The 26992-nt window shown below is 55.0% G+C and overlaps 3 protein-coding genes across 39 annotated transcripts in view, besides 2 other annotated features; 2 read left to right on the forward strand and 1 right to left on the reverse strand.

The window, feature by feature from the left end:
- Positions 1–457: 457 nt before the first annotated feature.
- PHF1 (PHD finger protein 1) lies at positions 458–6485 on the forward strand. Of its 14 annotated transcripts, none has more exons than XM_047418879.1 (15): positions 458–551; positions 2294–2468; positions 2554–2635; positions 2744–2839; positions 3242–3342; positions 3455–3603; positions 3782–3877; positions 4087–4155; positions 4289–4412; positions 4523–4590; positions 4771–4875; positions 5001–5190; positions 5281–5375; positions 5636–5716; positions 5856–6485. In XM_047418879.1, the coding sequence occupies exons 2-15, from the start codon at positions 2310–2312 to the stop codon at positions 6142–6144; spliced, it is 1704 nt and encodes a 567-aa protein (XP_047274835.1). In that variant the 5' UTR covers positions 458–551; positions 2294–2309; the 3' UTR covers positions 6145–6485. The 14 variants fall into 14 exon arrangements, 11 of the variants coding, with proteins under 11 accessions (XP_047274835.1, XP_011512967.2, XP_011512968.2 ...); XM_011514665.2 differs by lacking the exon at positions 458–551 and adding an exon at positions 736–933 and having other exon boundaries at positions 5261–5375; XM_011514666.2 differs by lacking the exon at positions 458–551 and adding an exon at positions 736–933 and having other exon boundaries at positions 5261–5375; positions 5639–5716.
- Positions 6488–8153, reverse strand: CUTA (cutA divalent cation tolerance homolog). 5 transcript variants are annotated; one of them, NM_001014433.3, is made up of 6 exons: positions 8133–8153; positions 7527–7741; positions 7297–7356; positions 7143–7188; positions 6966–7015; positions 6488–6822 (listed from the first exon to the last, which is right to left on the reverse strand). In NM_001014433.3, exons 2-6 carry the CDS (start codon positions 7712–7714, stop codon positions 6696–6698), a joined length of 471 nt encoding a protein of 156 aa, NP_001014433.2. In that variant the 5' UTR covers positions 7715–7741; positions 8133–8153; the 3' UTR covers positions 6488–6695. The 5 variants fall into 5 exon arrangements, with proteins under 5 accessions (NP_001014433.2, NP_001014840.1, NP_001014837.1 ...); NM_001014840.2 differs by having other exon boundaries at positions 8005–8153; NM_001014837.2 differs by having other exon boundaries at positions 7527–7862; positions 8005–8153.
- SYNGAP1 (synaptic Ras GTPase activating protein 1) overlaps positions 8213–26992 on the forward strand; it is a 35523-nt gene continuing 16743 nt past the window's right edge. For 16 of the 20 annotated variants that reach the window (XR_007059351.1, XM_047419464.1, XM_047419463.1 and 13 more), the window contains exons 1-7: positions 10111–10377; positions 13523–13644; positions 15844–15949; positions 22207–22298; positions 22731–22852; positions 25198–25351; positions 25561–25659. Coding sequence is in view for 19 of the 20 variants with exons in the window: in XM_047419464.1 (XP_047275420.1) it covers positions 10311–10377; positions 13523–13644; positions 15844–15949; positions 22207–22298; positions 22731–22852; positions 25198–25351; positions 25561–25659 (762 nt within the window). In the remaining variant the exon portion in view is untranslated. Of the gene's footprint in view, positions 8429–10110; positions 10378–11047; positions 12944–13522; positions 13645–15843; positions 15950–21271; positions 22075–22206; positions 22299–22730; positions 22853–25197; positions 25352–25560; positions 25660–26992 lie in introns of those variants that run through there. The other 4 variants (XM_047419462.1, XM_047419466.1, XM_047419455.1 and 1 more) reach the window with 3 other exon arrangements.
- Positions 15426–15968: an enhancer, noted in NCBI's record as "H3K27ac-H3K4me1 hESC enhancer chr6:33393157-33393699 (GRCh37/hg19 assembly coordinates)". NCBI's record gives its function as "activates a minimal SCP1, AML or CMV promoter by ChIP-STARR-seq in primed H9 embryonic stem cells {active_cell/tissue: H9 hESC(primed)}" and the evidence as "EXISTENCE:reporter gene assay evidence [ECO:0000049][PMID:30033119]".
- Positions 19118–19739: an enhancer, noted in NCBI's record as "H3K4me1 hESC enhancer chr6:33396849-33397470 (GRCh37/hg19 assembly coordinates)". NCBI's record gives its function as "activates a minimal SCP1, AML or CMV promoter by ChIP-STARR-seq in naive H9 embryonic stem cells {active_cell/tissue: H9 hESC(naive)}" and the evidence as "EXISTENCE:reporter gene assay evidence [ECO:0000049][PMID:30033119]".

A 26992-nucleotide genomic window follows, 5' to 3' on the forward strand; every position in this document is an offset into this window, starting at 1 on the left:
ACGTTTACGTGGGAGGCGGGAGCGGGGGCTGAGGGCTTCGTCTTTTCTCCCCTCTGCTATCACCGGTTCTGGACCTTGGCCTGGATCATCTTCCCCTCTGCTAATACCCCCTACCCCGTCCGTCACATCAGGGAGGTGTGCCCTCTAGCTATCCACGCCCCCTCCTTGGTCACTAGTTATAGGTAACTTTCACCCTTCCGCCGGCCACCCCAGCCCCAGGGAAGAACGTTCCTTTGGTGGGTGTCGGCAAATGGGGACCGGACCCCAGAGTCCAGAGGCGGGGCTAGCGCGCGCTCCCAAACTGTTGGCTCTTTCCTCCCGTCCCGCCCTTTCCCTGCCTTTCCGTTCGAACGGCTGGGGCTCTGCCCGCTCGCTGCCCATTGGCTGGCTCTCGGTGGCGTCACCGCCTTGGGTCCTCGCGCCCTTCGTCTGCGCCAGCCCTGGAAGCACGGGGCGGGACGTCCACGGGAAGCGGCGCGCACGCCCGCCGACTCCCTCGCGCCAACCGCCGACGGCCGCCGCCCGGTGAAGGAGGGGCTCAGTCCTCCCAGGTGCCGCGCGCAGGAGGGGACACGCGTGCGCAAAAGGGCGGTGGGTGGGGCGCGACTCGTCACGGGGAGGGCGGGGCGCGCGAGGGAGGAGGGCGTGGTGGGGGCATCGAGAAGGGTGAATGGAGGGCGGGGCTGTGAACTGGGGCCGGGGGGCGGGACTTGGAGTGACCATGGGGGGTGGGGCAGCTAACGGATGTGGCATGGGGCGGGGGACCAGGCCGGAGGCGGGCTGCCGGGAGGGGGGATTCCCTCGTGCCCCAAGGGCGAATCTCAGGTCGGAGGAAGGGGCTGAGGGGATTCCCTCTCCCACCGGGTCCGACTCTTCGCTCCCCAAGCCGCGGAGGGCCAGCCTCTTCTTCGGCGCCCTCCAGGCCTGTTGGAGGTGAGGGAGGTGGGGTGAGGTGGTGCCCGCCCCCCCCTCCGGCTCCTCCTTTCCCCCAGTCCTCCCCTCCCACCACCCTCCCCCCCAACCGGTCCGTCCCTCCCCTCCCTCCCTCCCCCCCGCCGCCTCCTCCTCCTGCCGCTGCCGCTGCTTTGGCTGCTGCGTCATACGCCCCAGAGCCGCCGGGACGGAGGGGCTGGGCCTGGGGACCCCCCGGCCTCCGCCTGCACGCCCCCCCACGCCCGGACGTGCCCTCTCCGCGCGGGGGACTCGCCTAGGTCTCCTACGTCTGCCCCTGCCCGGCTCCCGGCGGCCCCAGCTGTCACCGGTAAGGAGGCGGCAGGAGGCGCTGGTGGGGGGCAGGGAGCCGGGGGTCGGCGCGGGGCGCGGGCGGGAGAGCCTCGCCGCCTTGGCCTCGGGTCCGGGCTGGGCCGACACAAGTCCCTTCTCGGACTTGCCGTCCTGGGGAGTAGAGACCGGGACTGGGACACGCCCCCCTCCCGGGGCACTCAGAGAAGTTGTCTAACCCGGGGGCAGGGAGCCCCGAATTTGAGGGTGACCTGACATAACCTGGCACCAGGATGATTGTTCTTAATGAGACGCGCAGGCCTGGGGAGACAGCCGTTTCTGCTCTGGAAAACATCTCCAGAAAAGGTCCCAAAACACGTCTCTGGGCAACAGGACACCCTAATTATGATACCTCTAAACTGAGTAGCCTTTGCTTCTACAACCATAATTTCTCCTAAAATTTCAAGGCCAGTATATAATATCCCAGGAGAGCTCTGGAAGCTGGGAAACTAGCAACTAGGTTTGGGGTCGGGGGGAGGGCTGTTAGTTACCGAGAGGAGAGCCAGTCACTAGAGTTGGAAGAGGACTCAAAAAGCTGGTGATGGGTGCCCAGTGGTTTCCTATCAAGGTGTCTCAGGGATTTGGAGATGGGGGCACAGATACTTCATTCTTGATGGCAAAATAGGCAAAGAAAATGGGGAGGCTGGCCGGGCCCGGTGGCTCACGCCTGTAATCCCAGCACTTTGGGAAGCTGAGGTGGGTGGATCATGAGGTCAGGAGTTCGAGACCAGTTTGGCCAACATGGCCAACACCTCATCTCTACTAAAAATACAAAAATTAGCCAGGCATGGTGGCATGCGCCTGTAATCCCACCTACTTGGGAGACTGAGGCAGGAGAATTGCCTGAACCCGGGAGGTGGAGGTTGCAGTGAGCCAAGATTGTGCCACTGCACTCTGGCCTGGGCGACAGAGCAAAACTCCATCTCAGGAAAAAAAAAAAAAAAAGAAAAAGAAAATGGGGAAGGTTTCTCAGCATTCATAACCTTCTCCTCCCCATTTCTTTTCTGGCTAGGCCCCCCCAGGATGCAATGGCGCAGCCCCCCCGGCTGAGCCGCTCTGGTGCCTCCTCACTTTGGGACCCAGCTTCTCCTGCTCCCACCTCTGGCCCCAGGCCTCGGCTTTGGGAGGGTCAAGATGTGCTGGCCAGATGGACTGATGGGCTGCTATACTTGGGTACCATCAAAAAGGTAAGACCTTCTACCTCTGACCTTCTTCCTAGTTCCCTTATCTAATTCTGGTTCCCATTTCATCCTGTTTGCTCACCCATTCCAGGTGGACAGTGCTAGGGAGGTGTGTCTGGTCCAGTTTGAGGATGATTCGCAGTTTCTGGTTCTATGGAAAGACATTAGCCCTGGTAAGACTCTAGAGACCTGAGATTGCACATCCCATGGAAAACAAACCTGGCCTAGAGGGGCAGAAAGAGACTTAAAGGCAGGCCCTGTGACACTGTGTTCTCTCACAGCTGCCCTCCCTGGAGAGGAACTCCTCTGTTGTGTCTGTCGCTCTGAGACTGTGGTCCCTGGGAACCGGCTGGTCAGCTGTGAGAAGTGTCGCCATGGTGAGAGGGCAGGTCACCTGAATGGTCCAGCTTGCTCTTCCCTCCAGGATGGTCTCTATATCACCTGTCCTGGCCTTAGTCCCCAAGCCACTGCTCTGGCCAGGCTGCTTAGCCTTATCTTAGTCCTCATCCGCTTTCAGCCCAGGGAGAAGCAGCCATGGAAAGGGGTGGTATAACCTTTGCAGGCAGAAGATGGTTTAAATGCATCCTTTTCTAACCATATGACCTCGGACAAGTCCCTTAACCTCTAGGAGCCTCAGTTCCCTGACTTGTAAAATAAGGATAATGCACCCCCTCATCAAGACCATGGTCAGGGATTAAATGAGATGGGTAAAGACTATTCCTGTCCCAATACCAAGCACACACAGGTATGCAATAAGTGGTCTACTATTATCACTGCAGCTTATCACCAGGACTGCCATGTTCCCAGGGCTCCAGCCCCTGGAGAGGGAGAGGGCACATCCTGGGTATGCCGCCAGTGTGTCTTTGCGATCGCCACCAAGGTAAAGGCACTTCCCTGTTACCCTTCCTGTGGGAGCCTCCCATCCACAGCCTCTCCCAAGCCTTTTCCTCTCCCCACCCCTCTGAAGCCACCCACCTGTCCTGTCTCTGCAGAGGGGAGGTGCCCTGAAGAAGGGCCCCTATGCCCGGGCCATGCTGGGTATGAAGCTTTCTCTGCCATATGGACTGAAGGGGCTGGACTGGGATGCTGGACATCTGAGCAACCGACAGCAGAGTTACTGTTACTGTGGTGGCCCTGGGGAGTGAGTAATGAGAGGGGAGCAGACTGTGGAATGAATGATGTGGTGGTGGATCCCAGGAAATGAAGGAAAAAGAACAGGATGAGGGTAGCACTCAGGGGGATAGGAGGTAAGTTTAGGGTTTGGGACAGTTATGGGGAAGGGGGTTTCTGGAGGCCAGAAGTCCTGTGTTCCCCCTCAGGTGGAACCTGAAAATGCTGCAGTGCCGGAGCTGCCTGCAGTGGTTCCATGAGGCCTGCACCCAGTGTCTGAGCAAGCCCCTCCTCTATGGGGACAGGTGAGACCAAGGCAGACTCTCTAGGAGCCAAGGATGCCCTCTTTCTTCGTGTTCCACCCTCAGTTCTCCCACGCCCTTCTCCACTCCAGTCTCTTCCCAACCTCTGCAGCGTTACCTCACCTGTTTGCCCCGTCCTTGCTTGTGAGTCTTCCAGGGGATGGCACAGTTTTCCTGTGTAAGTGTGTTTGCTCCCTCTTGCCCATGTCCAGGTTCTATGAATTTGAATGCTGTGTGTGTCGCGGGGGCCCTGAGAAAGTCCGGAGACTACAGCTTCGCTGGTGAGCTGGATTGGGCATGACCTCAGTGTAACTCCACACCACAGTATTTCACTCTATATGCCCCAACCTCCCACCTCAGGACTCCCCTGGCTCTTAAAATGCCTCTGTGGTCTTGAAAACTTTGTTTTTCCAGGGTGGATGTGGCCCATCTTGTCCTGTATCACCTCAGTGTTTGCTGTAAGAAGAAATACTTTGATTTTGATCGTGAGATCCTCCCCTTCACTTCTGAGAATTGGGACAGTTTGCTCCTGGGGGAGGTAAGGGGTAGTGCAGTTTTGGGGGTTGGGATGGGACAGGGAGATGTAGCGGAAAGGGGAAGAGAAGAAATCACTGCTCCCCTGGCCCCATTTTTCTTCATTTCTCCCAGCTTTCAGACACCCCCAAAGGAGAACGTTCTTCCAGGCTCCTCTCTGCTCTTAACAGCCACAAGGACCGGTGAGTTGGAGGGAAGAGGAGGCAAGGATGAGGCTCGGAAAGAGATGGAGAGTGGAAGCCTGGAAGGGGAGGGGCTTGCAACCCACCTGGAAGACTGTGACTGAAAAGGATTGAGGAATGGCGTAAGGAGGAACCGTTTTTTACAGCACTGACCCTATATCATTTCTCTTCTTGCCCCAGTTTCATTTCAGGGAGAGAGATTAAGAAGAGGAAATGTTTGTTTGGTCTCCATGCTCGGATGCCTCCCCCTGTGGAGCCCCCTACTGGAGATGGAGCACTCACCAGGTCACTGGTCCAGGGGGGATGGGGGAAATTCTCAGGGTGTTAGTCCTGGGGGGTATATGTATAGAGATGGGGAGGTCTTGGGGGTGTCCGGGAGGGGGCTGGGGGGATAAGGAGGCCTCTTACAGCTTCCCTTCAGGGCAGGGCCCTGGGGGAGGGGTCTCACGTCCCCTGGGGAAGCGCCGGAGGCCGGAGCCAGAGCCCCTGAGGAGGAGGCAGAAGGGGAAAGTGGAGGAGCTGGGGCCACCCTCAGCAGTGCGCAATCAGCCCGAGCCCCAGGAGCAGAGGGAGCGGGCTCATCTGCAGAGGGCACTGCAGGTACTGGAGCAGGGGGAACCCGATGGAGCAAATGGTGGGGTGTGGGAAGGAGTCAAGGATTATCTCTCAGTCCTTTGCCCCCTCTTCTAGGCCTCAGTGTCTCCACCATCCCCCAGCCCTAACCAGAGTTACCAGGGCAGCAGCGGCTACAACTTCCGGCCCACAGATGCCCGCTGCCTGCCCAGGTCAGTGCTCCTCTGCCCCTCCCCCACAAAATATGCTCCCAATTATTCACATCTTCTGGACTTTATCACCCAGAATTCTTTTCCCTCTCCCCCTTGGCTACCCACTTCTTGGCCTAGACCGACTTCTAGAACTAGTGTCTGGTAGCCAGTATTCTGGGGAAGGGAGTCCCTTGGGGGTAGTGTTTGAGCTCTGCACTTCCCAGGGGGAGAAGGTCCTGTTCCCCTGCTTCAGGTCCTGACTTTCCCCACTCCAACCCCAGCAGCCCCATCCGGATGTTTGCTTCCTTCCACCCTTCTGCCAGCACCGCAGGGACCTCTGGGGACAGTGGACCCCCAGACAGGTGAGATTCTGTCTTCTATTACCAGTGATGCTCTTCTTCCCCTCTATGTGCTCAAGGCTCTTAGTCTCTAACACTGTTTCTCTGATTCACATGTGCTCTCCATTTCTGCCCATTTCTTACAATTGCCTTCTCTCCCTAGGTCACCCCTGGAACTTCACATTGGTTTCCCCACAGACATCCCTAAAAGTGCCCCCCACTCGATGACTGCCTCATCTTCCTCAGTTTCATCCCCATCCCCAGGTCTTCCTAGACGCTCAGCACCCCCTTCTCCCCTGTGCCGTAGTTTGTCTCCTGGGACTGGGGGAGGAGTCCGAGGTGGGGTTGGTTACCTGTCCCGAGGGGACCCTGTCCGGGTCCTTGCTCGGAGAGTACGGCCTGATGGCTCTGTGCAGTACCTGGTTGAGTGGGGAGGAGGGGGCATCTTCTGAACAGCCTGCCTCTGCCCAGCTCCCCATTCACACACACCGGCACTTTCATACCCTGACCTCTGACCTCACCTACAGCTGGGATGTACCTGGAGAGATAGGGGGTAGTTCTCCCTACTGCCCAGGCTGGAATCCAAGAGTGGGGAGTGGGGAAGAGGCCCTCTTCTCTACCCTCCTTCATGATTCCTGACCCCTCCCATCCTTCCCATTTCCTTTGATGTTATTTTGTTACAGCTTTTTAAATATTTTTTAAAATTATTTAACCCCTGGGGGCAGAGACTGAGGAGGGAGGATGATAAGGGATCCCGGACTCTGTATGATTGAAATAAAGAGAAATAAACAAATCTAGCAGCTCTGAGTCATTCTGAAAGATGTAGAGAATACAGGGACTAGAAGCACTTATATTCTCCCAACAAATTTGCATACATGACAAAAAACAGGCAAAAGGCAGAGAGACCCAAAGACGGGATTTATTGGGGGCCCAGTCATCACCTGGAAGTCAGAAGGCGTTGAAGTATCGCGGGGATCTTCATGATGAGCAGGAACAGGGCTCATCATGGCAGGACTGTGATAGAGTCAGAAACTGACTCTGTGACCTGGCGCACCCACTGCAGGTACGGAAAGTTCCCCTGTTCCACAGGCAATGCAATTACCTCGGCCACTTCGTAAGGGTGCACAGAACTACAAAATAGGTGGGTGGGGGAAGGGGATCACTCAAAGATTTACCCAAAAGAACCCACTCCCTTACACGCAAGCCCTAGACTGCCCAGCAAGTCACACCCACACAGTACACACCCTCACCCCATCCATCTCAAAGTTCTCACCGAACAAAATCTGTCAAAGCTGGGACCAAGGAACTTTGGGTTTTAATCATCTAAGGGACAAAGATAAACATGGTTGAATCAAGGAGTGGGATTGAGTTCAGTTTCTCAGAAGAGGGGTAAGGGCTAAAGGGGTCAGGGATTGGGGATATTTTGTTGGGTGGGGGAAATGTTTCTCACCATCAGCACCTCACTGTCTTCCTCGATCTTCCCTTTCCACTCATAGCTGAAAGGTCAGAGGGGGAGAGTTGTGGGGAGCAAAGAATTTCCCCCAGGAAAGAGGTTCCCAGTCAGCTCCTACAGTTAGGTTAACCCCCCAACTCCTATGACTCACATGGATGTAATCTGAGGGATGAGGTTGACGCAGGCTGCTAGGCGCTTCTCCACCACGGCCCTGGAGTGAAGAGACAGTCCCATTCAGAGTACCCCATAACCCCAGTTTTTGTACTGGCAGCCCAGAGACAGGCTTCCAGAGCTGGAGAAAGGAGAAAGCAGCACTCTTCTGCCCCACCCCCAACTGTCCCTTCATGATCATCCTTTCTCGCTGCACATCGAGGTCCCTACCTGGCGATCTCCTTGGCGACCTTCTCGTTGGGGCAAGTAACAAAGGCTGCAGAGACCGAGCCCGGAACGTAGCCAGAGCCGGAATCCGAGGCCGGCGAGGGCTGGGTCGGAGGGCTTCCAGAGGCCATGGTCAGCAAGACTCGGGGTAGCAACAAAAGGCGGGAGGCCACAGGCAGCAGCGCCGGCATCCAAACAAAAGACAGGAGCAGAGAGGCCTGAGAGCAGGAGGCGAATTCGATCTCTCCTCACAAACAGCCCAGGAAATTACACCCGGGGAAGCCTTCGCTTAGATCCTCAGGCTCTGCCCTCCCTCTGATGCACCCCCGAAGAATGCCCCTGAAGGTGAGAGAGAAACTTGGAAAATAAAGCAAAAGCTCATTTCACTCACACCTCAGGGGGCCAACCTCTGGGATTTAGGGTGCGGGTAGCGGTCGAGGCTTCGAGGACCGGAAGGGGCGGGGCGGGGCCGGTCACTCACCACTCCGCCGAGCAGGACCGCGGGAGCCCGCCCCCCACTCATGCGGCCTACGCTGGTACAGGAGAGTTGATCTCAAAGGCCACACGTCACACGGAGAAACAACCCCAGGAAGAGCGGCCTCTTCTTACCTGGGTGGCAGCCACGTGATTAGAAAACAGCGCGCACCATGTGACAGTAGAAGAAGGACCACCTGCGCCTCCAGAGCCAGCCAATCCCGACCCTATCATGGCGCGGTTTGCCCACCTCCTGATGAAGGAGGAGCCATGGGAGACTTGACCAATCGACTACCGCATCTGCAGACGTGCGCGGAAATGGCACGCCCGTTTCCGTGTGAACCCGAAACTGCCACTTGCTGGCTGAGGAGAGCCGCTGCGGCGTTCCACTGTCACGTGAGGGGGCCGGTCCTCTTCGGCGGCGGCACTCAGTGAGTGACGCCAAGTGGCCAATCACAGGCCAGCCTCGCAGGCCACGTGAGGCGAGAGCTGGTTCCAGGAAAGGGGGGCCAGAGACCCCGCAGAGTCGATGCGTCAGGCTGTGGAGTGGGGAATCATCCTTAAACCCCACAATGTGCCTAGTGACCTCCCCTGCACTGTTTCCGAGGTCTTAAGGAGTGGGAGGGTCTGAGAAGGACCCTTCACCCCAAACTCAGGGGTTAAGAGAGCGCCCCCTGCCCTTTTAGTTGGGCAGAGATATGCCTGGGTTTGGGAATGAACAACGGTGATCTAGAAGCCCGCTGTCCCTGGGTAGCAGGGAGTGATTAGGCAGGCACGGGCATGGCAAGACAATAGCTAGCTGAGGAAAGAAGCATTTTAAAACAGAGCGAGACCCTGTGGTAGAGGATGGTGAAAATGGGGCCTAGCCATCTTAATTGAAAACCCAAAGCTTGAGACAGACTACTGAATCAGAGGGAAGGAGAACGAGGGCTGCAGGATGGGGACAGTGGTGATGGTCCTTCTGTCCCCTCTTCCCTGCCTATTCCACTCCCCAGGATTGGTCCACCTCTCAGCCTCGGGTCTCCTTTCCCTAACCCATCCCCCAAGGAGCCAGGACCTGCCCTACATAACTTCCCTGGGGCCCAAGCACATCCTGTGACCCAAAAATGGAGAGAGGGGCCAATGAGAGGCAGAGAGGTGGGAGGAGGTGCAGAGAAAAAAGCTCTTGCCACTGCCCCCACCCAATATTTCCCCTCCCTTCAAGGTCTGAGGTCATTGGTCTGGTGGTGGGGATGCCTCGGAGTTTCCCAGGCTGACGTCAGGGTTATACCTCTCGGAGGTTCTAGGGCAGGGAAGTGGGGAGGGGAGGTTCCCTGAGATCTCTGTCTTTGAGTTTGGAGTTTGTCTCTGAGACAGATTTCGGAGGGGTCTTTCAGTATTTGTGTGGAGATCTTTCTTAGGATTGAGTTTCCTTTTATGCTTCTGGTTTGGGGGGTTTCTATGTTTCAGGGTCTGTGGTCGCACTCTGAGGTCTTTCGAAGTCTTCTTCATGAATTTTGGGTCTCTGAGTTGTCCATCTCCGGACCAGCTGAAGTCTCTATCTCCCCTTAAGTCAGGAGTGTCTCTGTCTCTAAGTTATCAGTCTCTGAGATCTGAGTCTGGGGTCTCTTTCTAGGTCTGAGTTCTCTAAGCTCTAATTCTACATCTGGCTCTTTCTGAATCTGGGCCTCATCTTTTTCTGAGTCTAGGTCTCAGGTCCTGGTCCCTGAAATCATCATCTCAGGGTCTGGAGTCTAAGATATCTGTAGGTATGGAGAACCCTTTTTAGACTGGATTTTCAGATTTTGATATTGAGCTTCTCTCTCTGGGGGATCTGGGGTCGTTTTTTCCTCAAATCAGGAGTCTCTTTTCCTCTAGATTTTGGCCCTGTGTCTCAAATTACCCCACAGTGGGGGGTGGTGAAGTATCTTTCTCTGTGGGTCTAGGGTCTCTCTGTCTCAGGGTCTGGGGTCTGCATCTTTAGGACCTCTGTCTCTCTCTGGTGTGTTTTTGAGTCAGGGGTCTCTCTCTCTCTCACAATCTGGGCCTCCCGGAGTAGGGGTGGGGGCTGCAGAGTCTCTCCCTCCTCCTCCTCCTCCTGCTCTCTTCGCTCTCGCTCGCTCCCCCGCCCCCCCTCTCTCTCGGCTGCCGCTGCTGCCGTTGGCTCTTATTCTCCTCCTCCTCCTCCTCTCTCCTCCTCTCTGCTTCTCTCTGCTCCTCTCTCCTCCTCTCTCCTCCTCCTCCTCCTCCACCTCCTCCTCCTTCTCCCCCTCTTTCTCCCCCTCTTTCTCTCTTCTTTCTCCCCCGTCCCCCCGCCCCCTCCCCCCAGGCCTGATGAGCAGGTCTCGAGCCTCCATCCATCGGGGGAGCATCCCCGCGATGTCCTATGCCCCCTTCAGAGGTACGTGGTGGGGGGAGGGGGAGGGCCATATGGGGGGCAACAGGGGGAGGGGCAGGGGGCGGGGGAGAGTCGGGGCCGAGGGAAGGGAGCGGCTGAAATGGAGGGAGAGGGGAGGACCGGGAAGGCAGGGGTGGGAGCAACCGGGAAGGAGGGATTGGAGGCCAGAGGGATAGGGGTAGATAAGGGATGGAGGGGCCAGGAAATGGGCCTTGAAAGGGGGCTGAAGGGAAAATGATGAAGGGGAAAGAAAGCGCCAGAAAGGGGTGGGAAGGTAGAAGGATTGGGTTGGGGAAAAAGCTGCAGAAATAATTTGGGGGTGGGAGCTGAGTGATGAGGAAAACATCAAGGAAATAGAGGGACAGAGTCTTGGGAGAGGGGCTAGGAAGGAGAAATGAAAACATAGGGGTGAAAAGAGAAGCCAAGAAGATGTGGGGGGATAATTTGGTGGGGGACTCAGAGTATGGTAAGGGGCGGAAAAAGAGAGGAGGATGGAGGGAGAGAAGGGGCCAGATGGAGAGAGAGGGAGGCAGTGGGGGGTGGGGGGATGGAGGGTCCAGATGGAGGGAAGAGAGAAGAGAGAGGGAACGGTGGGGGAGGGGAGACCAGGGCAGGGGGAGGGCCAAATTATGTGTGCTTGGGGGGGTGGCAGTACAAGTAAGATGAAATGATGGGAGTAGGGGACAGGTTAGGATCCTGCCCCAGACTCTGACCCTCTTAAAGGCTCTTGACCAGTAAAATGTAACCTCTGGGGTCTTAATGCTGTCTTCACTTCATCACTTTTACCCCCTTCCCCCACCCCTCCAATCCTTATTTCCATTCCCCCTCCCTCCTCTGCTGTCCATCACCTATATCTTTCCCCCCATATGGTGTCCGTTCCTTATATGAGTCCCCCTTCTGTCCTTCCCCTATATCAGTCCCCTCTCTGGTGTTCATTGCCTCTCTCTTATCTCTTTTCTATGTGGTCGCTCCCTTATATCTCTATCACTTCTTTACTAGTCCGTCTTGACCCCTTCTCATAGCCTCCGCATTAGGTCTGCCTCCTTTGCTCTGACACATGTCCAGTCGAGCCCTTCAGGTGTATTCCCTTGCCCCTGGGCATTTACCATCATTTCTGCCTCCTTTTCTATCTACTCCTATTATTTGTCTCCCAGACCATTCCTTGTCACCACAAGTCTGTGCCTACCCACTTTCCCTTAATACCTCAACTCTTATTATCATTTCTCTTTTCTTGTCTCCTCTACTTATTGGGGTGTTGGAGATTTGGGGTACAAAGACACAGGTTTTGATGATTAGAACAAGGGATCCCCATCTCAGCCCTTGAGGGATTTCTCATCCTAGTAAAAATTTCCCGTTTCTCAGCCATGTTGCTCTGCCTCTTGCATCTGCCTCCCAGAATCATTCTTCACCAAGTCCAGACAGTATGTGTGTGTGTGTTTCTAGAGTTGTTCCTAAGTTCCCTGCTGCCAGGAGAAAGATGCCCTCTGAAGTCTAACCCGCCTCCCTTGGCTGCAGCCTGAACCAGCCCTTTCCCCAAATGCTTATGTGTATCAACAGATTTCTCCTCTGGGTATACCAAGTGTCTAAGTGCGGTGGGCATGTTGCCTGCAATGTCTGTAGTTTCAGAGGCTAGGTATTGGTGATCTCTGTATCTAGAGAACATTAGTTAGTCTCTGAGATGGGTTGAGATAGAGTTTCAAAGTATGTGGTTTCTAAATGGTGGACATTCTGAGGGTTCATCGCTCACTGTGATCTGGAGGTTGGGTAAATTTGAGAGACATATTTATAGACAGAAAAGGGCTGAATTTGCAAAACTCTGCTACTCAGTGCATTCTGTTGGAATGAAGCTCAAAGACCAGTTCTCCTGCAGTATACTCATGGTTATCCCATAAAGGTGACAGAGTTTGATCTTTTTTCCATCTAAAATCTGATACCTTAAGCCTAATTTCTAGCTCTTTGCTGTCGCCAATGTGACATCTCTCTTACTTCAATAGGGCCTGTGTGGCATTGGGGTTTAAAGGAGAGGCAGTTTGCAGGGAGAGCGGCATGGCAAGAACAACAGAGCTGGGGAAGGAGGACCCTGGTCTCATCTCAGCCATAGGCGACACTTGGTCTACTGTTCTCTCTTCTCAAAGTTTTGTTCCCATCTCCAGCTCTTGTCTTTGGAGGCCCCTCTGTGTCACCAGGCCTGGATATTCCATTCTTTCCCCCTGACATCTTTCTTCCTCAAGCTCCTCACTGTGCCTTGAGAAGGCTCCTGACCTATGGAGTGGCTTCCATCCTGTCCACTGAGACTAGGTGGGGTGAGGTGGTGGGGGCAGTGTTGAATCTCTGGGCACTGAATGGGAGAAGAGATAAATTTGGTCTCTACTTGTCCAAACAAGGGCATATTTCCCACCTTCTGCCCTGGGGCCTCCACAGCCAGATGCCGACAAAAGCCATCTTCTCCTTACCACCAGAAGAACCAGAACTTTCCCTAAAGGATGAGCAGGGTTGAACTAGGGGAGGAGGGCACAGAGGAGGGAAGAGTTGGGAGGGGAGGCCCTCTCATGTCTCTGACTGTGAACAGGTAAGCTCCCCGACTTCTTCTTTTCTAGATATTTAGCCCTCAGAATCTCATGATCCCAATGTTCCTACACACACACCCCATCCTTCTTTCCCACAGCCATGTAGCTTTCCTCATACTCTTTTATAGAGGGGTGGTGCCACCTTCCAAGTCCTTGTCTTCTGCAGCTATTTGGATGCCTTCCTCTACCCAGATATCTGACACCAACTTCTCTGTTTTTCTCCTGCCAATTTTGCGGCACCTCTACCTTATTTTCCTGAAGTAGATGGAGAGCTCCTTCATCTTTCTCTGCCCCCAAACGTGTACCTTCTCTGTCATATAATTCCCATCCCTGAACCTCTGCATTTCTTCCCCCAAGTCTCCAGAGCCTTCTGTGATGTGATCCTCTCCTCTTTTCCCCTTTGTATAAATGCTTGTCTTGTGTTCCTTTAGAGTTGCCAGGTGTCTCACTTTCAACTGTGATCTCCTGAAGGCCGGTAGGGTCCCCTTCTCACTTTGTGGACTCTCTTCTTGCCATTTTAGGCCTCTGCTTCCAAATGCATAGAGCCTCCCTTACTGTTTCTGTGTGTCTCTGTCCTCCAGATGTACGGGGACCCTCTATGCACCGAACCCAATACGTTCATTCCCCGTATGATCGTCCTGGTTGGAACCCTCGGTTCTGCATCATCTCGGGGAACCAGCTGCTCATGCTGGATGAGGATGAGGTGAGTGTGGTGAGAAGGCTGGGAAAACGCATGTGGGAGAATGGGGAGAGTCCTCATTAGTGAAGGGGAGAGAGACACAAAGAAGGCAGACAAAGAAGAAACATTTGCAAATGGCAGGAGGGTGGCCATTGAGACTTGGGTTGGAGTGTGACAAGAGGGGTAGTCATTCTCTCATCTTGGGCAGGGAGTCTTTGAGGGTTATGAGCTGTGTTGGGGAGGAGATGTGGTTCTGAAGATTTCGGGGGTGGGGAGGCTCCTGTTTTCACACTGTCCATATTGTAGGATAGGTTAGAATGGGGAAGGGGAACTGAAGGGTTTGGAGAAGGGGTGAAGACATGGAAGGCCCTCCCAACCAAAGCAATCCTCAGGACCCCTCTCTGCTTTGCCCACTGAGCAAGACTCCCAGTCCTTTCTCCATCAGGGGGCAGAGTGCAAGAAGAGAAATTGCAGGACGCAGAGAAAAGGCAGGGGATAGAGGAGGTTTTAGGTAGCTGGAGGATACTGGGAAAGAAGACTGAGGTCAGTGGATCTTGGCATGATGGGGTGAAGACTGGGAGAGTGATTGAGATCAAGGTTTAGAGAGACACTGAGAGGGCTTCTGCAAGGGAGTGGTTGGACATCAGGAAGGAATATAAGGGAGGGGAACTGGGAGTATGTGGAGTTATCTAAAGGAGTACAAGTGGAGTAGGGGCAGGGACTAGCCAGAGTAAAGGAGATGAAACGGACAGAGGCCTCTTATGGGAGGTGGTGGCCAGGTATGGAGATCTGAGAGCCAGGGAAGTGTGGGTTCTGATTTGGGAGCTGGGTCAGCAGGAGTGTCCATTGGAGGAAATAGAGGATAAAAACTGGAATGGTGCCCCACAAGTGTGAGTCAGGGAATGGGGGTGATTTGGGGGACAAGCTTTAAAAAATGGTAGGGTAGCCTGGAAAACCAAACGTGGTGAGAGATGGACCCTGAAAGTTATTGGGAATGGTGTGATGAGGAAGGGTTAGAATTTGAGTCAGGGCTAACTAGAGTGTCAAGGGACCTATGGGGGCAGGTGAGAGTGTGGAGAGATGGCTGGGTAGACAGCTTCCAGGCCACAGAGTAAAGTAGAGGTGTTAAGGAGAGGATATGGTGACTTTGAAAGGAGAGGTGGCTTGGGGAGTCTAAGTTTTGGACACCATTGGGAGACATTTGAGTGACTGTGGTCAAACCCCTAGATCAAGGTTTGGAGTCTGTAGGAGAAATGGGGGAAACTGGAACCCAGAGTGGGGACTGTTATAGGGATGAAGAGGGAAGACAATGGATTGGGGTAATGAAGGAATGACAGAGATAGGGACAGACTGAAGGGACCAGTGGCCAGCAAGTTGAGGGGCAATAGGAATGGCCGGTCTGGAGCAGGAAGGGCGTGTGTGTGGGAGGAGGAGTAGATAGAATTGGGAAAATGAGCAGCCTGAACAGACGCAGGGAGTTGGAATTGGATGGGTGGTGGAACTGGGGCTGGGGGATAGTGAGGGGTCTGTTCCTGTGGCTCTTTGTAGAGGTGGAGGAGACTGCAGGGGTGGAGGTGTATGGAGGTAGGGATGGAGGTGGACAGGGGGAGCTGGGTGTGAAGCTTAGGGAAAGGTGATGGCTGAGGGGAAGAAGGGAACTGAGAGATGCTGGGTCGGGTGATGGAAGGAGATGAAAGGTGGGGGAAGGTGACCAGGCCCTCTGGCGGGAGGGGAGGTTGGGTCCCAGTCTGGCCGCAAGCCGGGCCGTGGGAGGGAGACAAGCTGTGGATCCTGATTATAAATGCAGCTTCTGCTACCCCCGTGACAGGCTCGGAGGGAGAGAAGGGGGTAAGGGAGGTGGGAGGTTGGGAGGAAAGCAGGGAGAATGGAGGAACTGAAGGTCAAGGGAAAACTGGATTCAGGAAGTAGCTAACTTCTGAGGAGTTGCAGAAGAGCTGAGTAGGGTTTGGGAGAATTCTCCGGAAGGTGTTTCAAGACAAATGGAGGGAGAAAAGAGGGTGGGACGGCAAAGAATGAGAGAGAGAGACTGGGGGAGAGAAGGGAGAGATCCAGTCACCAAGTGTGGAGGGGCCGGGGCAGAAAAAGTGGGCAGGCTTAGGGGGAAAAGGAGGCCCGCCCTTCCTGGGAGGAGGCGGAGGGGGGAAGAGGGAGGGGAGGGGCGGCGTGGGCCAGGGAGGTCTGACACACCCCCACCTCCCCTAGATACACCCCCTACTGATCCGGGACCGGAGGAGCGAGTCCAGTCGCAACAAACTGCTGAGACGCACAGTCTCCGTGCCGGTGGAGGGGCGGCCCCACGGCGAGCATGGTACGGCGGCCGAGCAGGCTCTCATGACCCGGACAGGCGCGGGGAGAGGGCTGAAGATGGACCGGGCTGGCGGGGCGGGGGCGTCGGGGAGCGGCGGGAGCTGGCCGGGGGCGGGAGAAGGCGGAGACAAAGTCTTGCTTCCCGAGGGGAGATGGCGCCCTCCTCTGGAAGGTGGAGCGGGACAGGGGCTGTGGGTGAGAGGCCCCTGTGGGTCCTCGCTCGGCTTCGCTCCCTTTCTCCTCTCCAGCAGTGAAGTTTGACTATTTTCCTGGTGCTTGTAAAAATAGTCTCCTTAGATCTTTAGCTTCCAGTCCGTGTGTTCCTGCCCCTGCCCCTCCCAGCCCCTGGTCTGGGATCTTGGAAAGAATGACCTAGTTCCTGCCCTCCCCCCAGACCTCTTCCCCACCCCTATGCTCCTGATTCTTCTTCCGGACCTTCAGTCCTTGAGGTCTCCTTTTATTACCCCCTGTTTTCTCCTCTCATCAGCTGCTTCTATTTTCTGCAATTGTATCACCCTTTCTCTTTCCTCCCTGATTTCTCTTATTTTCTGTACCCCTCTTGATTACCCCGTCCCTCCCCTCTGCTCCCGGCGAAAGTCCATCAGACTCCCATCTCATCTCCTTTCTGTCTGTAGAGCTATCTGCGCGGTCTGTCTCTCCAACTCTCTCCCTCTCTCCATCTGTCTCTTCCCCTCCCTCCCCCTTTCTGCCCCCCCAACCCCCTCTTTAGTCATTTAAAAAAAGATTTTTGTCTTCCTGAGAAGTTCGCTTAAAAGGTTTCCATGGGAACAGTGAGGGGAGATGAAGGCAGAGAACAGAGATCTGCAGCCAAGGTGCAGAGAGACGCCCTCAGCCCCCGGAAACCCCCTCGTCACTGCCCCCTTCCACTTCATTTCCCTTCCCGGACCTAGCGATCCAGGTTCCCCATTCCTCCAACCCCCAGGTGACCCCTTTTTCCCACCAGCTCCCCCTCCCTTCAGGAATTCAAGCTACCAGTTTCTCTCCCTTAGAGAGCCAGTGACCTGTCCCCATCCTTTGGCTCCTTCCAGCCTTCTGATAGGTCCAGGCCCTACTAGCCTTGTGGGCCGGTTTGGGGACCTTGGGTGGGTGGGTGGGTGGTCAGGGATGTGTGTCATTGTCATGGAAACCCCATACCATCGGGGTGTGTGGGTAGCACATCTCTGTGAGGCAAAGTCAGGTGGTGGTGGAGTGTATACAGAGAATGTGTGTGATGTCTGTCACATCTGTGTGTATATGTATATGTGTGTATGTCATGTTCATGTCTGGGGAAGATGTGTGTGTTTGTGTGCATGTGTGTACACCTGCGTTTCCAGGCCAGAATGGTCACATGCTCACAGAGCATGTTTATCATGTGTCCTGTGGTTGGCAGATCTGCCCACTTATTCCCCATCTTTCTCCTTATCCTGAGTCCTCAGGGTCTAGGGGTCTCTGGCGGGGGTCTCCCGTGTGTTTTGGGTGGGGACACCGTGTGTGTTTGGAGTTGAGGTGGCATGTGGAGGTTGCTGTATTGGGGTTCAGTAGGGGCTGGGAGGGGTTCCAGGGGCATATGTATTTGGGGGGAGGGCTTAGTGAAAGTTGATGGGGGTGAACGTTTAGGGTCTTCAGGCAGACATGGAATGTGTAAAGGGCATGGAGGATGTGCAGTGGACATAGGGGTCGTTGGGACCTTGGGGACTTGGCAATGCCAAGGTGTTTGCTGAGGCTGTGGACTCTCCAGCCCGGGAGAGGTCGCCGGACCTTTGAGGGGCATTGGAATCCTGGGCTCCTCCTCTGCTGGGTGGAGCCGCGAACCCTCGTTCTCTCCGCGGTTTTGTGTGTGTGGGGGGGTCCTGCTCAGGAGGGGATGGTGGGTGGCCTGGTTTGTTTTGGGGGTCCCCTTGCCCCCCTCCCCCGTCTCTCTCGCGCTGTCTCCGGGCGACAGGGCTCGTGACAGAGGCGGCCACGGCAGCAGCGGTCGCCTAGCAACGGCGGCGGGGCCCGGGCAACGGCGGCAGCGGCGGGAGCGGCGGCGGAGGGAGCCGTTCCCGCGGCCGTCACCGCGCGGCCGTCCCGGCCGTCCCGGGCCCCGCCGCCGCCCCCACCGCGCCGGGCGGCGCGAGCCGGGCCGTACCGCCCCCTCTCCCTCCGCACCCCGCCCTTCCCCCGCGCAGGGGCGGGGCCCCTCCCCCACCGGGGACACCCCTGGCCCCCCCGGGGGGCGGTGCGAGGTAAGGGCGGGGCCGGGCGGACTAGGAGCGCGCGTAGAGGGGGGGGCGCCGCGCGCGTGGGGCGGGGGCGCGCGTGTGCGTGGGCGCGGGGAGGGGGGTGGGGAAGCCGCGGTGGCGGCGGCGGCGGCGGCAGCTGCTCCCTCCGCATGTTCTCGCTGCATCTTCCGAGTGGGGGGAGTTATGGTAACCGGAGGGGGACAGCGGAGGACGGGAGGGTCGGGGACCGGCCTCGTGCGGACAGGGTCTTGAGCACGCGGGGGCGGCCGGTGTGTGTGGGATCTTGGAGCCCCTGGTGGAAGGGGCAGCCCGTGTGTCCGCGTGTGTGTTCGTGCCCATGCTCGTGTCTCCTGTGTGTCGGTGCCATGTGCACACGGGGGCCCAGTTCCTCGTGCACACATGTGCAGCCATCCTTGTGCAAGTGTGTCCTGTCTTATCTTGCCTCTGCCTGTTTCCTGCCTAGGGGGCTGTTGGGCCAGCCACGGGCTTGTGGGGCAGTCCGCGGCCTTGCTGGTCCATGTCACCTCTGACCCTGAGCATGCATATCCCTGGCTGGGGCTCACCTCCTGTCAGGCTTCTGTGTGTGGGAATGTGTGGCCCTATGAGCAGGATTTTCTGTGTCCCTGGTGGCAGGTGTGTGTCTTTGCATGTGTGTTCCAGCACTGGCCTGAGTATCTGTGTCAATCCCAGCATGGGTGTCCAGGGCGTGTCTGGATGTGGGTGGTGTGGCTGGGGGGAGTAAGTGTGTGAATGTGTTCCTTGGAATTCTACTGTGTATGAAACACCTTTGGGCTGGGCAGGTGTAAGCCCTGCTTGGTCAGTAAGTGGGGACAGAAAAGCTTAAAAAGGGAAGAAATGGGGTAAAGAGGAAAAGTGGGGAGGGGATAGGAGAGAAGGAATGAGAGAGGCTTGAAGAAGAGAGCAGAGAGCAGCAGGCCAGGGAGAAAGAATAGCTGGAGAATGGGAATGTGGGAGAAAGCCAAGCCAGACTTAGAAGAGAGAACAGGGGATAAGAGCTTAAGATGGGGAACTGGATAGAGATGGTGGGAGAAGAAGGGGTCTGGGAGCTGGGGAGGCAGTGGGGAGGAGAGAGTCAGGCCTTCTGGTAAAGTGATCTCTGAAAGAAGAAAGGGAAGAAGATGGGAGAAGGCACTGGATTCTTGTAGGCCTTGCAGGATCAGGCTTGGTTTTGGATCAGGGAAGGCCACTCAGGCATACGGGCTGGCTCACAGTGAGGCCTGTCATAGCAGGGACTGTCATTAGAGGTTCATATCCCCAGCACAGAGCTCTGTCTCCCATTTCTCTGCTCTGTGTCCAACCCTGTTCTTCGCCCTTCTCTGGCAACCTCCCTCCTCTGGCTCCCCTTGAGAGCTGCCAGCTGGGTGTGGAGAGGAAGAAAGGCCAAAGGGAAGGTTAGGGATTTGGAGGGCAGGGGGAGATTCTGTGGGTGATGGCAAGATTAGAGATGTTGGAGGGGCAGGAGTCCAAGCCCTTGCTGTGTGTGTGTGAGTGCCATTGTGTGTGTACACAGGGTGTGTACATGTGTGGGTGTGTGCACAATGCCTGTGTTACGGGTTTGTGTAGGTGGCTGTTATGTGTGTGCATGCGTGTATACATCGTGCAGGCATGGGACATGGAGACCCAGGATCACAGTTTGTGCTTTTCAGGTTTGCTGTGTGTGTGTGTACACGGGTGTGTGTTGTTTTCTCTGTACATGTCACTGCATGCAGCATTAATAACAGGATGTTCTGTGTTTCTGTCACTCTGCCCCCCCTTTCCTCTGTGTTTCTGCTATTCTTTTCCTGCGGCAACAAAAGTGTTTAATAAGCATATGTGTATGTGGCCTCTGTGTACCTGTGACTTATGAGTGAGTTCATGGATCTTAGTTCTTGGTAATATGTGTAAGGTTATATTACTTCCAAGAACCAAGCAAGCCAATTAGCAAATTTGTTCTTCTGTTAATGCTTTAGTTCCAAAGCGGAATTTTAATGCATTTAAAGTTAGACTTTATGCCTTTATTAGATGAGCTTGCACATGAAAATAATGGCTGAGCTCGGTTCCCTGAAATGAGAGTGAGGCAGCCATACCTGAGAAATGCAGAAAAAATGTTACTAGGGAAGAGATATCCTGAACCATTGGATGCATTGCTTAGTGTGTACCAGAAGGATAATTAACACATTTGCTCCTGGTTTTTCTTTACTCTGGTGGCAATCTCGGATGCCTGTGTTAGAGTGAGAGAAGGGCTGGGGGAGGAAAGGGGGTTGTCCTGAGACAGAGTGGATGTGGTTGTACTTTTCACGTGAATGAAAGGATGTTTGTGCTTCTGAGATATGGGGATACCTTTCTGTGGTCAGGATCATGGTGTACTCAAGCATGTATTTCAGGGGTTAAACTGGAATTCCCCTGCATGGGGATATGTGTGTCTTAGGGTTATAGGTCCATTTCTGTAGTGTGCTGTCCACATGATTGCCCAAGAGACTTGGGCCACAAAGTCCACACCAGCAGCTCTCATGTGGGTCACTGGGTTCAAGTATGTACTCCCTTGTTGCAGAGCTCACATATGTCAAAGCATGTATCCTGTGGGGTGTGTGGGCCTCAGGGTCTCAGAATGTGGATCCGTGCTATGCCCGTGCTCACAGTTGTCTGTATGTCTCAAAAGCACATAGATCCCCAGTTATTTTTCTGTATTGTGGTTCTCATATACACGTACCTCCATAGCTCAGTATATGTTTCTGTACTATACACCTGTTCCTGAGGGAGTGATAGGGTTCTCGTGTCATGGGGTCCACATTTTTGTATGCAAACCTCCTAACACCTGGGTTTTACAGGTAAAGGGAAGCTGAGGACTGATTCTAGGGCAGTTTGCAGGCAATTTGCAATTCTGGAAGCAGACAGTGAAAATATAATTGTGGTCCTCCCTTGTTCTGTTCTGGAACCTAGAGGGTTAACAGGCAGCTCTTCCGGTCCACCCCCCTCCTTCCAGCCTGTAGCTTCTTGTTGCCGTGGAGATGGTGGCCCCGCCCCGATGCAGCACCTGCCCCCCCATTGGCTGCAGTGGTGACTGTGGGGCTGAGGGGGGAGCCCAGGCCTGGGCAGCCATTCTGGAGCTGGAGCCGGAGCTTGGCATCCCCCCACTTACATTCTCTTCCAGCCCCTCGGCCCCTCTAAATTCCCTTGCAGCCGAGCCTCAGCTTCCTTTTTCAGCGCTTGCCATCCCTCTAGGCTCTTGGCAGACTGAGCTGCATCCGCATTCACCTCCCCTCCTCCTCCTTTCCCTATCCTTACTTGGGAGTCCCGAGAACCCCCACTGTCCATCCTTCCTGCTCCCTGCCCATTCCCCTGCATTCTTTGCTTTTCCCCTCCCCCCACCAACCTTCTGAGCCCCTGCCACTGCAGTGCACGTGGAACCGGCTCCTTCTCCCTTCCCCCCACCTGCCCCTTCCTTGGATTTTCTGTCCCCAGCTTCTCCCCCTGCTACTCTTCACAGGTCTCTTCCAAGACCTCCCCCTCCAGTCCAGGGAGGGGGTCATGGGAGGCAGCCCTGGCCCTCCAGACAGACAGGGGTTCCAGGAGGTGGGGGGCAGGTGGAAGATGTGCCCACCAGGGGGAAGAGGAAAGCCTGCCTATGGGCAATGACCTTTAACCCATCTTTCCCCCCAGCTAGCCCCTTCTGGGGTGGGTGGGCACCAGGGACCTAGCCTCCCTGGATCTTTGGTGTCCTTCATTACTGGGGTTTTACTGACCCTCTCAGCCATGCTCCCCTGCTGACTGCCAGCCCCAGTCATGGGCCTAAGGCCTCCCACCCCATCCCCCTCAGGGGGCTCCTGCTCAGGTTCCTTGCCCCCTCCTTCCCGCTGCCAGCCTCTCCGCCGTCGCTGCTCTTCCTGCTGCTTTCCGGGGGGTAGGTGAGGCCGGAGCTGAGGGGCAGAGGGAGGTGGGGGCATGCACTGGGGTCAGGGGTGGGAACCTGGGTTAACAGCTTCCCTTCTGGCCCCCTCCCCAACTTCCCTTCTGGCCATTTCCTCCCCTCCAGAATACCACTTGGGTCGCTCGAGGAGGAAGAGTGTCCCAGGGGGGAAGCAGTACAGCATGGAGGGTGCCCCTGCTGCGCCCTTCCGGCCCTCGGTGAGTGGTGCCTACCAGATGTGGCTCAGTTGGGCCCCCTCCCCTCCAGCCCCAACTGGGGCCCTAGGAGTCTGAGAAAGAGGGCAGGAGGGGGAGAGAGGGAGTGAGAGTGAGAAAAAGAGTGTGTGTCTGTGTGTGTCTCCCCACCTCTTTGGTTTCCCCCTTCTTGGCTCTGCCCCCCTGCTTCTGAGACCAGCCCTCCCACCTTCTCCAAGCTGTGTGTGTGTGTATATGTGTGTGTGTGTGTGCTTGCACTGTACCCGTGGGAGCAAGGAAGACAAACTGGTATTAGGGTTCCTATCCCCCTTTCCTCGCCTCTGGAGACTTCCCTTTTCCCCATCCCACTTTCATCCAGGGGCTCTCTACCAGCTGAGGGATGAGTAGGTAGAACTGACCCTGCCCCAACCCACCCCATCCCCATTTCCCCCCCAGCAAGGCTTCCTGAGCCGACGGCTAAAAAGCTCCATCAAACGAACGAAGTCACAACCCAAACTTGACCGGACCAGCAGCTTTCGCCAGATCCTGCCTCGCTTCCGAAGTGCTGACCATGACCGGTACAGGGGCTGGAGCATGTGGGATGAGATTGATGTAATGTAGGGTCTCCTGTGTGAGATGCAGAGGGAGGGGGTTATCTGTGTGCAAAGGTTGAAGGATTCAACTCAAGTTGGTTGGGGGATGTCATGGCACAGGGGACAGAACAGAAAAGAACTAGAATAGGGATCTGTGAGCAGCAGGAGAGGGGTAGGGTGGCAGAGAGAAGACAGACAGACAGGCTGGAAAGGGAATGAAGGTGAAGCCAAGGAGGGACTCCTCAGGGACTCCTCAGGCCAAGAAGGATGGGCTCTAGCCCAGGATCAAAGGAGCTGTACAGGAGGAGAGTGACCCTGGAGGAATGTTTAAGGAATGCAGGGAAGGGGTTGGTAGGTGAGTGAGCAATAGGCTGTAGGTGGAAGGGTGTCAGGGAAGGTCAGGAAATACAGGGGCAGCAGGTTGGAGTGGGGCTGGGGGTGGCTGAATGAATGGATGATGGCTAGGGCTCAAGGACCTCATCAGTGAGGGAAGAGACAGTATAGAGCATGGCAGAGAAGGGGAGGCTGGGACAGGTGTGCAGGGTGACAGAATGGGAAGCAACCCATGGACTGAGGCATGAAGAAGCAGCCAGCGGAGAAGTCCAGAAGGCACTGTCCCTGAGACCAGGCTGAAGGAGACCTCCACTGTTTGCCTTTGTTGCCTGCCATTTGGGGTTCCTCTCTGGGTTTCCCCCTCACCCAGTCACTCCCCAGGGAGAACCATGCCCTCCCTTTCCCCCATGTCTGGCCACCCCCAGGATTGGGCAGGTAGGGAGGTTGGGATAAAGTGAGTCACACCTTTCCCTGCCCCCCTCCCATGTTGCCAGAGCTGGATTTGGGGCCGGCAGGGGGTGAGGGCATGGTATTCCTGGCCGCGGGGGCGGGGGGGGGGGTCCGGGGGCCGGGGGAGCGTCGCGCTGACGGCAGCCAGAGCCTGCGATGACGGGGCTGCTATAAATAACTTCTTGGAGGCTCCCACACCCAAGCTCCCCTCCCGCTTTCCCACTGCTCTCTACTCTTCATCCCCTGCCCATCTCCATACCGCTTTTGTATTGCTATCCTACCCCTCATTATTCCATGCCCCTAGCCCCCTTTATCTTCTGCCCTCCTGCAGTGATTTTTTTGCATTCCATCCCCTCTTAGCCCTCACCTCGGTTCTCCCGGCCATCTCTCCAGTTGGCCTTCCTCCTCTTCTCCTGTCCTCTGTCTTGCTGCACATACCTTTGTCTCCCCCTTTCTTCTTCTTGCCCTACCTCCTCTTCTTCCCTAGTCCGTGTATTCTGTCTTTTATCCTCTTTGAGCTCTTTTCTGCCCACAGCTTTCTCCTATTTCTTATGCTTTTCCCTCACTCTTTCCCCTGCTTCTGCTAAAACTTGTCCTCTTATGCTGTGTTCATTCATTCTTTGAATCATTAAATGTTTATCAGGCACTAGCCGTGTGCCAGGCCCAGGCTAGACATATCTCTTCTCTGTGCCTTCACTTCTTTACTTCCACTTTTTCCTTTATACTGAGGCTCTGGTTTCTGGGGTTACCTGGAGGTACTACCTAGAAGTGCCCCAGGCCCACTTTGTTCTCTCCTTTTTTTTTTTTCTTTTCTGCCATGGTCCATTTCTGGGTTGAGATATTTCTAGATGTCCCCAGTCCTCGCAATCCCTTAGGTGTGAGATGGTGGGAGTTTCTTTTTTTTCCTTTTTTTTTTTTTAAATAGAAATAGGGTCTCACTGTGTTGCCCAGACTGGTCTTGAACTCCTGGGCTCAAGTGACCCTCCCACCTCGGCCTTTGAAATGTTGGGATTACAGGTGTGAGCCACCAGGCCCAGGTGGAGCAGGGGAGTTCCTTAAAGGATTCTGATTTTTCTCACATCCCTCACGTCCTTCCTGATAGGCAGGGTTTCTTTCTGTGTCTGTTTGGGAAGGGTGTTCAGGGGGCCTTCTCTCCAAGTCTCCATCCTGGAACAGACTGATGATGCAGGGTACCTATGTGTCTAAGAAGAGTAGGGGGGCCGGGCGCGGTGGCTCATGCCTGTAATCCCAGCACTTTGGGAGGCTGAATCACTTGAGGTCAGGAGTTTGAGACCAGCCTGACCAACAGGGTGAAACCCCGTCTCAGCTAAAAATACAAAAAAAAAAAAGAAAAAAAAATTAGCTGGGTGTGCTGAGGCAGGAGAGACGCTTGAGCCCAGGAGGCAGAAGTTGCAGCAAGCCGAGATCACACCACTGTACTCCAGCCTGGGCGACAGAGCAAGACTGTCTCAAAAAAAAAAAAAAAAAAAAAAAAGGAAGAGTGGGAAGCCCTGATCCCTTCCTCTCCTGAACCTCCTGCCTGCCAGGGCCCGGCTGATGCAAAGCTTTAAGGAGTCACACTCTCATGAGTCCTTGCTGAGTCCTAGCAGTGCAGCTGAGGCATTGGAGCTCAACTTGGATGAAGATTCCATTATCAAGCCAGTGCACAGCTCCATCCTGGGCCAGGAGTTCTGTTTTGAGGTACTGGGTCTGGTGGGCTGGGGAGGGCCAAAGGACAGGGGTGATGGAAGGTGGGGGGCAGAGAGGTCTAGAGAAAGTGGCACAGGTGGGGACATCAAGGAAACAGAAACTTCTGGGACTGGAGGAAAGGGTAGGCCAGGGAGGAAGAGAAGGTAGCAGAGTCTCCTCCCCTCTGTAGCCCTTTCCCTCAACTCCACACTCCTTTCTAGGTAACAACTTCATCAGGAACAAAATGCTTTGCCTGTCGGTCTGCGGCCGAAAGAGACAAATGGATTGAGAATCTGCAGCGGGCAGTAAAGCCCAACAAGGTATTGGGGAATAAAGGGGACACAACCTGTGCAGGGCAAAGGTTGCACCAACACGGGAAGCTGGGGGCCTAGGGAGGAAAGTGAGTTAAAGGAGGAGAGGCTTGGGGAAGGAGAGGATTGAGGTACAGTGTATCTGGACAAGCAGGGGGAGACCCCCATTATTCTGAGTCCCCCATTTCTTTTCGCTTTCTGTACTGCTACCCTGCCTTACGATCTCTTTCCCTGCCATAGAAGTCATAGACTTACAGAGTTGATGGGGCTCTGGAAATTCTTTAGTCTAGCTTCCCTGCAGGCAGGAATGCTTCACTAATACCCCGCAGGACACATCAAATACACTTAGCCAAGTTTCTGTACCTTGGTTTCCTCTCTAAGACAGAGGGAACTGGTGGCAATGGGTTGGATTAAATGATCTCTAAGGTCCCTTTGGCACATAAATTCTATGAGTCTGTTCTTCCCAAAACTTCATGCTTCCAGTTCTGTCAGCTATTCTCTGTATCCCAGTTTCTAGCAAGCTTACAGTCCTAGTCACACTCCTCTGGGGGGAACTCTTGTGTCTTGATGTCCTTAAAGAACTCAACCCAAGATGCTGACATGATCTGACCTATGCAGAGTACAAACACCATGTTCCCTTTCAACACACTGCAATATCACCTGAGCCTTACCATTAGCTTGTGCTCAATTGTATCCCCCCAGGCCCTTACTGATTCTTTTTTTTTTTTTTTTGAGACAGAGTCTCACTCTGTCACCCAGGCTGGAGTGCAGTGGCGTGATCTTGGCTCACTGCAACCTCCGCCTCCTGGGTTTAAGCAATTCCTGTGCCTCAGCCTCCCCAGTAGCTGGGATTACAGGCATGCACCACCACACCCGACTAATTTTTGTATTTTTAGTAGAGACGAGGTTTCACCATGTTGGCCAGGCTAGTCTCAAACTCCTGACCTCAGGTTGTCTGCCTGCCTCAGCCTCCCAAAGTGCTAGGATTACAGGCATGAGCCACCACATCTGGCCAAGCTTTACCCATTCTATATGCAATTCTTTTTTCACAATTTCTGATAGTCTCTGCAGGACTTTCCAGTTCCCTTCAAATTCTACATTAATATTTTTGGCTTGTTATTCCAGCTTTTGAAATCTTTCCAATACTGTTTGTGTTGTCTAGTGTATGTCTACGCTTCTACAGTAGCTTCCTGGGGCTGCTATAACAAACTGCTACAAACTGGGTCACGTAAAACAACAGAAATTTATTCTCTCACAGTTCAGGAGGCTGGAAGTCCAAAAGCAAGGTATCAGCAGGGCCACGCTCTCTTTGATGCTGTAGCAGGGAATCCTTCCTTGCCTC

The sequence above is a fragment of the Homo sapiens genome, chromosome 6 (genome assembly GCF_000001405.40).
Source record: "Homo sapiens chromosome 6, GRCh38.p14 Primary Assembly".
NCBI lineage: Eukaryota > Metazoa > Chordata > Mammalia > Primates > Hominidae > Homo > Homo sapiens.

What these genes read in the sequence shown, in the direction of transcription:
- PHF1 (XM_011514662.2), top strand. Translation starts at nt 752, where the DNA reads ATGGGGCGGGGGACCAGGCCGGAGGCGGGCTGCCGGGAGGGGGGATTC. An exon ending in TCTTTGCGATCGCCACCAAG is followed by an intron (nt 3,343 to 3,454) that starts GTAAAGGCACTT and finishes CTGTCTCTGCAG; the next exon opens with AGGGGAGGTGCCCTGAAGAA. An exon ending in GGAGATGGAGCACTCACCAG is followed by an intron (nt 4,876 to 5,000) that starts GTCACTGGTCCA and finishes GGCCTCTTACAG; the next exon opens with CTTCCCTTCAGGGCAGGGCC.
- CUTA (NM_001014840.2), bottom strand. Translation starts at nt 8,046, where the DNA reads ATGAGTGGGGGGCGGGCTCCCGCGGTCCTGCTCGGCGGAGTG. An exon ending in ATCCCTCAGATTACATCCAT is followed by an intron (nt 7,189 to 7,296) that starts GTGAGTCATAGG and finishes CTGACCTTTCAG; the next exon opens with CTATGAGTGGAAAGGGAAGA. An exon ending in GCTTTGACAGATTTTGTTCG is followed by an intron (nt 6,823 to 6,965) that starts GTGAGAACTTTG and finishes CCTATTTTGTAG; the next exon opens with TTCTGTGCACCCTTACGAAG.